Source organism: Homo sapiens, chromosome 5, assembly GCF_000001405.40.
Source record: "Homo sapiens chromosome 5, GRCh38.p14 Primary Assembly".
NCBI classification, from domain to species: Eukaryota; Metazoa; Chordata; class Mammalia; order Primates; family Hominidae; genus Homo; species Homo sapiens.
In genome coordinates this window covers 18,958,351-18,970,774 of record NC_000005.10, presented here as the reverse complement: position 1 = coordinate 18,970,774, position 12,424 = coordinate 18,958,351, and positions in this window count along the sequence as shown.

Below are 12,424 nucleotides of genomic sequence, written 5' to 3'. Positions count from 1 at the left end.
TATATACAATTAGTATGGGTCAATTAAATAAATAAATAAGACTTTTTTCCTCTTCAGGAGAGAGGGTTTTACTGTGTGATCCATAGATGGATTCGTAGATGAAAAAGTTTATATGTCTGCCATGTTTCTCTTTTTGATTCAAAATTTTCACTTTCTCCTTTTGCCTTCTTGTGGGACATGTGTTTTAGTTCAAAGTTTACTGGATCACAGAAAAACTCCTCAGAAACTGACAGATGTGTCTGGAGAGCCTAGAACGTGTGCACGATGAAGGCACTGGACAGGATTTTGAGCGAGCTTGAGTCTGTTCTAGGCACAAAAAGAAAGGGATGTTAGGATCATTTTCAAAAGGAGAGAAGATGATGGCATAATCTGACTATCAAAAATTGCAGACTCCTTTCCATAGATTATATATGTTGCTTTGCTTAGAAATGGCTAATCATCTAGGAACTACTTTTTCCCAGCCCCTACTTTCGCCTCCTCACAGCCCTGCACGGAGGTGGAGCTAAATGACTGGTTTGCTGTAATGAAATTTAGCCAGAAGTGATGTGTTTCATGCCTAAGCGGAAACTGATGAGAGGTAGACTTGCCCCCTCTGCCCTCACCTCACTGCTTGATCGGCTGAGTGTTCATGCATAAAACCATCTTGTAGGTCAAGTGCTAAAGATGGCAGTTTCCAGAGCAGAATTCACCATCTTCCCTCTTTGCTGAAACCCAGAGAACCTAGTAGCATCGAAAGCAGGCAATGATTAAATTGTTGTATTAAGGCACTTAAATGTAGAGATTTTTTTTACAGCAGCTAGCATTATACTAACTAACATAATGATGACACCTGACAGGTTGGTTTCCTTTTTCCTTTATATAATGGCAGTAATCTATGCAATACATTTAGACTACTCCTATCAAATAATAATTTTAGGCTAACCCCAAATAAAACAGGTATTTAAATCAGAGTAATAGGACATTCTGAAGCAAATGCTATGGAATAGTATATATGTATTCATATGTGTATGTGTGAGATAGAGCTATCTTATTATTCTGTATTGTATTTCAAATTGGCACTCAGGCAAAAGTTTCATTATGTGTACTTAATCAGAAGTATTTGGTTGACAACTGAGATGGGTTAAAAAATGACTGTAACTTTGGAACAAGGGAAGCATACATATCTGAGGCCACTTTGTAACTGATAACAGCTATTAGAATTATATTTGGTCCTCAAGACTTAGAACTTTATAAAATTACTGAATATTTAACAGTTATTTTAAAAGAAGCACAATCGGTCAGAAAAACCCAGTGATTGGACATTGATCTTTTGAATATTTCTAATCTAGGAACTATCTATGCAAAAGATGCAAGCAAAATTATTACATGGGTCACAATATGGACTTACTTCATTTTTAATAAGAAGTTTACAAAACAAACCATCAATGCCCTTATCTGTGTGTATATATGTCTGTGTATACACACAAGTATGTTCAGTCATTTGTCCCATAAAGACGTTTTGGTCAGTGATGGACTATGTATACAAAGATGGTCTCATAAGAATGTAATGGAGAAAAATTCCTTCTGCCTAGTAAGGTGATAGCCATCACAACATGGTAGTCATCACAATGTTGTAGCACAACTCATTACTCACATGTTTGTGGTGATGCTTTTGTAAACAGACGTGCTGTGCTGCCAGCTTCATAAAAGTATAGTACAGGCCGGGCACAGTGACTCACGCCTGTAATCCCAGCAATTTAGGAGGCCGAAGTGGGCAGATCACAAGGTAAGGAGTTGAGGACCAGCCTGACCAACATGGTGAAACCCCGTCTCTACTAAAAATACAAAACTTAACTGGGTGTGGTGGCACACGCCTATAGACCCAGCTACTTGGGAGGCTGAGGCAGAAGAATTGCTTGAACCCGGGAGGTGGAGGTTGCAACGAGCTGAGGTTGCACCACTGCACTACAGCCAGGGCAACAGAGCAAGACTCCATCTCAAAAAAAAACAAAGTACAGACTGGGCACAGTGGCTCACGCCTGTAATCCCAGCACTTTGTGAGGCCAAGATGGGTGAATCATGAGGTCAGGAGTTCAAGATCAGCCTGGCCAAAATGGTGAAACCTCATCTCTACTAAAAATACAAAAAACTAGCTGGGCGTGGTGGTACACACCTGTAATCCCAGCTACTTGGGAGGCTGAGGCAGAGAATTGCTTGAACCCTGGAGATGGAGGTTGCAGTGAGCCAAGATCATGCCACTGCACGCCAGCCTGGGTGACAGAGTGAGACTCCATCACACACACACACAAAAAATTTATAGTACATACAATTATGTACAGTATATAATACTCAATATTAAAAATAAACAACTATGTTACTGGCTTATGTATTTACTATATTACATCTTTAATATTTTAGAGTACTCCTTCAACTTTTTTTTTTTTTTAAAAAGCTAACTGTATAACAGCCTCAGGCAGATCCTTTAGGCGGTATTCCAAAAGAAGACATTGTTATCGTGGGAGATGACAGCTCCATACATGTTATTGGCCCTGAAAACCTTCTACTTGGACAAGATGTGGAGGTGAAAGACAGTTATATTGATGATCCTGACCTTGTGTAGACGTAGTTTCATGTGTATGTTTGCATCTTAATTTTTAATCAAAAAGTTTCAAAAGTAAAAAATTAAATAGAAAATACCTTATTAAATAAGTTTATAAATAAATAAAATATTTTTGTACAAGAGTACAACATTTATGTTTTAAGCTATGCCGTAGACTCAAAAGGTTAAAAAAGTAGAAAACTTATAAAGCAAAAAATACAATAAGCTACAGTTAATTTATTGTGAAAAAAGAAAAAATATAAATTTACTATAGCATAGTATACAGGGTTAATAAAATCTACAGTAGTGTACAGTAATGTCCTAGGCCTTCAGATTCACTCACTGCCCACTCACTGACTCACCCAGAGCAATTTCCTTCTGGTCTTTCAAGTTCAATTCATGGTAAGTGACCTGTACAGGTGCACCATTTCTTATTTCTTAGACCATATTTTTACCATAACTATTTTATATTTAGCTATGTTCAGATCCACAAATACCATTAATTCATATCTGCCTCTAGTATTGAGTACAGTAACCTACTGTACAAGTTTGTAACCTAGGAGCTGTAGGTTATCTCACATAGCCCAGGTGTATAGTAGGCTATATCATATAGGTTTTTGTATGTAGCCTCTGTGATGTTTATATGATGACAAAATCACCTAATAATGCACTTCTCAGAATGCATCCTCACTGTTAAGTGATGCATGACTGTATATATACAGCTGTTTTTCTGTAAATTGAAAAAAATCACTTCACCTTCGATATTTTAAAAATATTTTTGGTTTCACAGATTTATGTAGAAATACTGGGCACAAACATTTATATATGTTGCTTTTTGTATGAATTGTAAGAGTTCGAAAACCATATAGAATGATATAGAATTAGCTAGATAGCTACTAAATTGGATACAAAATAAAATGTTCAGGGTTTTTTTGTCTAAAGAAGATTCATTTACACACAAAAATAATATTAATTGGTTCTTATTATGCAGGCTCTGGTTAAAATGTTTCTATGAAACCAAGCATTTGCAACTAATCTCACAGTTAAAATCTGAAAATTTTTAAAAATTTATTTCTGAGACTGTAATAAATAAAGTTTGATGTGCTAATTTATGGGCATTTAATCAACTGAAATTTGAAATGTCACTTTTCAATCACTCACACTAATCTTATATAAATATAACTGAAACAAACACTTAAATTTGATTTTACTTTCTTGCATCTCATTCCTTGCTTGCCATTTGATTGACAGGCAATCAACAGCTGTTCTTGTAACTTTTTTATTGAATACATGTTTGTGGTTTTAAAAATTTATTTATTTTGCATGGTGTCTAATTTGGATCACTCTGTGGAAAATGGAGTCAGCGATAGACGTTTTATATCTTTTTAGTTTATAACAGTCATGGGCATACTCTCTGTTGACTGTTATGGCAGGAAAAAAAACCTAAAATTTCAATATAATTAAATTTATTTCTTTTTTTCCAAGTGTAATGTGACTGTATTAGGAATATACTGTGTAAGTCCAAGAAGAGTTAGAATATCGAATCAATGGACCCTGCCATCACCTTCTTACTGTCTACTATGGGAAATGTTAATCTATTTATTTATATTTATTTATATAACAGTGGCAGCGGGTAGTGTGCCACACTATACAACCGTACCAGTGAACATCTTCACACATTTCCATGTGGTGGTCAATGAATAATGCTTTTCCTTCTCTCCCTATCATCCTGTAGAGTATCCATCTCTTTCTTTCTCAGCACAATCACAGTATAAAGCTTAGGCAGTAAACATATTTTTTCAAAATGGAAGCTCCACAATTTTACATAAATTCCACACTAAGTTGCTCAAAACATGTCTTTACTTTCAAAATGACTACAAATAATGTGTATTATTTTTTTAAGGCTGCCATAACAAAACCCCATAGATTGAGTAGTTAAAACAACAGAAATGTATTTTCTCATAGTGATGGAGGCTGACATGATGTAACAGTCAGAAAAGAAGACTTGACAATCAAATGAAACATATGAAGATGCTAGGTTGCTGGCTTTGAAGATGGAAGAAAGGACCGCAAGGCAAGGCTGCAGGCAACCCCTAGAAACTGAAAAATGAAAGGCAGCTGTTTGTCGACTTTCACCTCCAGAAGGAACGCAGCCCTCCCTGACACAGAGTAGAGGATTTCTGACCTCTAGAACTGTAAAATAATAAATTTGTTGGTTTAGACCACTAAATTTGTACTATTTTTCTAAGCAGTAATTAGAGACTGGTAAAAATTGTAGTACTTGAAAATGTGATGCTGCTATAACAAATAAAAATTTGAAATTGGCTTTAGGATTGGGTAAAGGGTAGAAGCACAGGATATTTCAAGGAGCATGATAGAAAGAGCCTTGAACAAATTGCTTGTAAAAATACGGATATTGGGCGCAGTAGTTCACACCTGTAATCCCAGCACTTTGGGAGGCCAAGGCATGTGATTGCCTGAAGTAAGGAGTTTGAGATCAGCGTGGCCAACATGGCAAAACCCCGTCTCTACTACAAATACAAAAATTAGCTGGGCATGGTGGCGCATGCCTCTAGTCCCAGCTACTCGGGAAGCTGAAGCAGGAGAATCGCTTGAACCCGCTTGAGGCAGAGGTTGCAGTGAGCCAAGATCTGCTGTCACACACACAGACACACACACACACTATATATATGTAAATATATAAATATATGTATGTGTAAATAACTATGCTAGTGAGAACTCAGAAGGAAGTGGAAAGCCTGGTAGAAAAAAACCTGCAATGTCTTAGAGAATACTTACATCATCATACACAGTCTATTGGTAGAAATATGGACAATTAAGTAATTGCTGGTGTGAGTTTAGAAAGAAATTAAGAACATATTATTGTAAACTGTATAAAAGGCGGTCCTTATTGTATAGTGGAAGATATCTTACCTGTCTGGGTATATCAAACAGCTATGTAATAGGGAGAAATTGCAAGTGATGATTTAGCTGAGCAGGCTTCCAAGCAAAACCAGTGTGGCCTGGTTTCTTTTTGCTGCTTGTAGTAAAATATTGTTTATGGAGAAAATGGATAAATTGAGGGAAGAACTGTGAAGCAAAACGTAGCCATTACTTTTGATTTGAGAAATTCTCAGTCTATCTAAATTGTAAAAGATGCTAATGTTAGGCATATCAATATTCACCGTCAGGAAAGTGTGCTCTGCAAAGAAAGTCAAGAATGTGGCTGGACAATCTTTGGATATTGCCTTGGAAGAAGCAAAAGTTTAGAGTATCCAGTCACAAAAAGTCTCTTTGAACAGATGATACAAGTGATTCATGGATCTTCTTAGACATCTCAACACAGAAGGCAAGAACAGACATGATATTATCCAGGAAAGATGAGTGGAGAAGTCACATTGTGAAATGATGTGAATTCATCTGCCATATACAGAAAACCTAGAAGGTTCTTGTGAATGTTACACCAGCAGAAATGCTACCAGCTTGGACTAAAAGAAACAGAAACAAAAAAATAAGAGAAAGCTTTAAGATTAGCCAAATTCCACATGAAAATAAAATTACTCAGATAAAAACATAAAATACTCTTCATGAAAATGAAAGACTAAGTCCAAGGGTAGAACCGTAAGCCAGGGGATAGAACTAATAACCCCATAAAAGTATTATTAAATCTTAAAACTTAAATTTTGGCCTAGCTTGATTTCCAAATTGTTTGACAAGTAACCATTTTCCCCTCTTATTGTGTTTCTTTTGAAAGAAGATTGTCTATAATTAGTATGCTATGTGTGTTCCACCATTGTATTTTGGGAGCAGTTAACTTATTTTCTAGTTTCACAGGGTAAAGATGGAGCAGAATTTTTCTCCAGTATCAATTACACCATATTCTTACGCTTACCTGATTCAAATATAAGATTTCACAGAGGCTTTTGAGTTGATAAAAATTAAAAGAAATATTGGACTTTGAGTTGATGTTGTAATGGGCTCAGACATTTGGAGATGTTAAGATGGAATTATTATTATTATTATTTTTTACATTCCGATGGACGTTGATCTTGAATATCTAGAATTCAGTATCTCAAATATCTGGACATCTGTGAATATCTTGCCATATAGAGCAAAATGGAATTTGCAGATATGATTAAATTAAGGATATTGAAATGGGGAGATCATCCTGGATTAACCAGTGTGTCCGACGTAATCATAAGTGACCTTATAAGAAGAAGTAAAAAGACAAAAAGAGAGATTTAAATACTCTCTTCTGTTGGCTTTGAAGATGGAAGAAGTAGAAGGAATGCAAATGCTGTCTAAAAATTGGAAAATGCAAGGAAGCAGATTCTTTCCTAAAGCATCCAAAAAAATATGCAACCCTGCTCACATATTGATTTTAGAACATTTTACCTCCAGAATTGTGGGATTATAAATCTGGATTATTTTATGCCTTTACATGTATGAAAATTTTTAATAATATCAATAGAAAACAAATGCAATAAGACTTGAAAAATTATTTAATTCCAATTCATAAATATATTTTCCTCTCATTTTGTCTAAAAGGTTTATTATTTTATCTTTAAAATTTAGGTATGTATTCTATCGCAAAATACATAGATCACCAAATAACCCAGAACTGTTTATTGAAAAGACCTTCTTTTCTCTCACTAAATTGGAATGGTGCCTGTGTTAGAAACAGGTTACTATTGTTGTGGATCTGTTGCCTGGCTCTCCATTAGTTGTATTGATCTATTTTTCTTTTCTTGCACCATATTAATTATTATCTTGTCTCTAATAGGAATTGTTTTCTAGTGTTTGCTTTATTATTTATATGTGCCTTAGTTCTCCTAAGTCCTTTGGATTTCCGCATAAATTCTATGTACATGCAATGAAAACATAGACAAATTTTTCCAAAAAAATAGAACTTAAAGACATTTTAAGTGTTTTTTTTTCAGGGTATAAAATTCTGAGATACAGAACTAATAATGGGCAAATAAGATAGTAAATACATGGTAAATTCTAAACAAACATTGCATTACACAACAACATATAAAAGCAAAATAAAAATAAAATGCATAACAAAAATCAAATATATATTAAGACAAAATTTAATTTTAAGTATTCTAAGTTGGGTGATATGTTCCATGTGTAATAGGGATAATGATCCCTATTCATTTGGAATGTTAAGTATGTCTATTAAAATCCATAGGCTAAATCAAGTACTTGTAAGAAAATGTATAATTTTTTTTTTTACCAGATGGAGGCAAAAACTTAATAACGCAAATATAGGGAATGAAAGAAGATAAATAGAAAGCCAAAAGGATACAACTAGAAAGCCAATAACATAAGATATTAAAAATAAACAAAGATGAATGACCCAGATCCATGGGTGACTAGCTGACACCTAATGGGTACTGATCTTGGCTCCACTAGGTGACTTATTCTTTAGTCCTAACATATAACTCTAATGATGTGGTTCTCACTACCATGCTGTTTATTCTCTAAAGCCCAATGTTCATTACTTAGGCTTCTGAAGCGAGAAATACATTTCCAACACACATTCAATATTTGGATTAGTAGTTTGGGCAACACATTTTTTGGCTTCATAGTTTAATATTTAAATTTTACTGCTCCATATTTGATGACTCATATTCATCTATATATACTAAGAAGGAAAAGCAATTTTACCAATAGAAAATGATTTTGTTTGTATAAAACATCAGAAAAACCCAGATTAATACATCAAATAGCATCTTCTCTGAAGAAAAGCACTAAAACTAAAATCAAATTGGAATTGTCTGTATTATATAATAGAGACATACTATGTTATCAGAATTTTCATATGTAAAAGACAATAATGTTTTCTAGTCAATATTAGACTATTGTTTACAAAAGCTACTTATGCTGGGGTTCTTTGTTGTTGTTGTTCCATCATATTTTTGAAATGTAATCGAATACATTAAATTGTAGGAAAGGTTATAATAATTTTGACTACTAGATGCAAAGTGTATACACATTATAAGTTGCAGATTTTATGCCTGTATTGCGATTGACCTTATTTATATGTTATTGACAAGAATTATGTCAACTGTTGAAATATTATGTGCATTTTAGTTTATAAGACCTTTGAGGACTTGGATAGTGTCTTTGAATCTCCAGCACAGTTGCTCACATAAAATGTTTTATAAATATATACTTGCTCAATAAATGGGTGCTTCTGGTCATAGATCCAAATGATAATTTTCAAGTCAGATTTTCAATTGTTATGCTCAAAAAATGGTATCTACACTTTTTTTTCAACTGTTGTTTTTAATTTACTAAAAAACAAAACATTTAAAATGGTTCCACTGTGTGATTCAATTTATCAGGTGGTTTTGTGATGTTTTTCCAGACAAAACATTTAATTTCTTAAATTTATAGTTATTTTTACAGGGGTTTTTATTTTAATTTGGAAGCAGCACAAACATGTGGAGTAGAAAACAAATTTTTGAATGACAGTAACATACTTCTCAAGGTTAAATAATGCTCAAGCATTTAACCTCATACTTGCGCATTTATTTAACCTCATTAGTTTAAAAATATCTATCATTGTTTTAACTTACATGTTTTGGTAAGAAAAAGAATGTATAAACTATGTGAGACAAATCAAACCATGGGTGATATAAACTCGATTGTAAGGAGTGGTGAATTTCAGTCTATGTCTGTCTTGATACATTTTGGTTCATCATCAAGAGGAATGTTCTGTACTTGCATGTGTGAAACACCCACAAATGTTAGTGCTTATAAAATCAATTTCAGTTTCAGTCATTGGAAAGTCCCATTTGGATTTTTCTACAGTGAAAACAAAATATGCCATAGCACTGTTTTCCTTGATTAGACTGGCTTCGACCATACATTCAGTTCTTTTTTTTTTGTTTAACACACTTGTGGCTTCGGAAATATTCAGTTAAGATATTAAAAGTCCCAATAAAAAAAAAGTGTGTATATTTCAAATTTATTTTCACAGAACTGCTTACAATGGAGACAGTCTGTTTTCCCCTAAGATGTGATCATAAACATTTTTCTTCCAATGGAATTTACAAGGACTCGTTTTTAAGAGTGACTTAATGATGTTTTTATATTACTCTGGGAATTAATTATAATTGGTTGTAGTCTTCACTGTCATTAACCCTTAAATCATCACTATGAAACTTTTACATAACATTATTAACATTTATCTTTCAACTATGAGATAGGCCCGGACTGTTGACAAAATGACATAGGATACTTTCAAATATTTGCCTATGCATTATTTTTTATAGATGACACAGAGAGCAAAAACAAAAACAACAAAATACACATCAGTCTTCATTAGTAAATAGACTAGAGGGGCAATAGTTGAATATCTGGGATATACCAACTGATTATGACTTATTTTTCAAGGCTACTTGCTATGAGAGTTTCACTTGGCTGTTCTAAAACAATATGGTGATTACTGAGCACACAAAATCATGGAACACTATGAAAGAAAAAGGTTTTTTAAACTACATAAAGACAGCATATGCAAAATTATTTTATTTATTTTAGGAACTTTAATTCTGTGTCTGTTTTAGATACGTATCTCTAATGAGATATACAATGAATAAGGAAATAGATAACAAAAGGTGAGATATACAAAATAAAGTATTTCTATTGCCATAAAGTCTTCATCGGCTTAGAATTCCTTATTTGAAATTGACATATCTAAATTCAATCCATCTACCAGGAGTAAATTTAAGGATCATCTCTAAGAATAAACTTCCTATTCCTTTCAGTTGGGTCTGCTACGTCCTAAACTCCCACAGAAGAACTACTGTACACTTAGGCTCTCTCTCTCTCTCTCTCATTTTCTCTTTCTCATTAGTTTAAAAGTTTCTTGCTATTGCCAAGTAAAATCATGCCTGAATCACTGATGACCAGCAATAACATTTAATCTATTTACTTCTAAAGCAACTAACACAGAAATATTGTATTATACCTTTATCCTTTATAATATCTACTGTGTGATAAAATAAGTAAATTTACAGATAAAAGTATGTGCTAGAGAATAATAAAGACATTTTTAAAAATTAAAGGGGAATTTGAAGATCAACAGAATAATGTTCTATAGAATTTACATAATTTCCCAAATGTGGATGGTAAACTAAAAGGTAAAGCATGAGAGCATCCATTCATCTGGATGCCTACATTGCTGACATTGTCCATTAGGAGTAAATGGTGGACATGATTCATGTACTAAAGTGTGTTCTGTTATGTGAAATGAATACGAGAAATGTTGTTCACATATTGTGGAAATAATGCAGCTTTAGTCTAAGCGTACATCAGTTGTTGCCACCACTATACATGGGCAAATGTGTTATTTAAATGGAAAACACCCAAGTTAGAATTAACTTCAATTTTCAACCATAGAAAAGAGGTGGCTCCTGTTATCAGTTCAATGGACTGTGCCAGAAACTGCAGCTGTCAGCGTAAACTGTCTCACAAGACTGAATCTAAAATAATGCCATGCAATCTGCAAAACATTCCAGGGCCTCAAGCCATGTAAGTGACATCACTAACTTTCTGTTAAATTTTTTTTACCGTGGCAATGGTAAAGAAAAAAAAAGTACAAAGAATTCAAGAGTATCAAAACCTAAAGGAATAAAATGGTAGACAAAAATTCAGAAAGGACAGTGGTAGTTGACAATGGTTGATGTTTGATGTGTGTGTGGATAGAAGGTAAGCCATCTGGAGGGAGTTGGTGGCAAGAGTCAGCCCTGAATTGTTCATAGAGATTAATTAGGAAGCATATTGCCATGTCATAAGCTTTGCTTTCAGAATAAAAATAGTACAACGGGCTGCATACATACACACACACACACAGAGTTGTCCTTTGGTATAGATGAGATAATTGATTCCAGGACACCTCCGAAGATACCAAAATCTGTAGATGGTTGATCCCTTTATAGGAAATAGCATAGTATTTGCATATAACCTATTCATATCCACCAGCATACTTTGAATCAACTCTAGATTACTCATAATAATTAAGACAATGTTGGTGGTATGTAAATAGTTATTGTACTGCATTTTTAGGAAATAATGACAAGAAAAAATGTCTGTACATGCTCAGTACAGTCGCAATGTTTTTTTCCAGATATTTTTGATCCCTGGTTGGTTGAATCCAGGGATATGGTACCCATGGTTAGGAAAGATCGACTGTGTATGCATTGGGTTAACTCTGTTTTTGTGTCTCTGGCTTAACCCTAATATTCAGGACCTCTACCATCCAGGGAAATATATCAATAAAAGCAGCTATTCCAAATTTGTGGGACTATATTCCAAGTCAAAATTTTGGCATTTTCTATCATCTATTCACATAACCACCAAGAACTATCTTAATAATTATAAAAATTAGAATAGCATTGAATTTTGGGACAATTATTTTTTTAAAAAAAAAAAAAACAAAAATTACAGACTCAGAAAGTCTGTTTGAAAGTAGTCCATGCTGGGGGTCAGAGAAACAGGAATGCAATCTTTTATATCTGACTTAATAACACGGAACTCACCATATCTGCATTTCTAAGTAAGCCAGAATACCAGGTAATCTGATGAGAGGTAGTCTATTATCAGACAATCAGCACTGCTTGCTAGAGATAAGGATCCCCAAAGAGTGGCCTTCCAAGAGGGGAAGCTGGAGCGCCTCTAGGACAAGTGATGAACAAGGAAGGGACAGTTCATCCACACGGACCATTGACACATGCAAGTTCACCATTAAGAATGATAAGTTTAAAGAAAAAAGCTGGGCACAGTGGGGCACGCCTACAGTCCCAGCTACTTGGGAGGCTGAGGCAGGAAAATCCG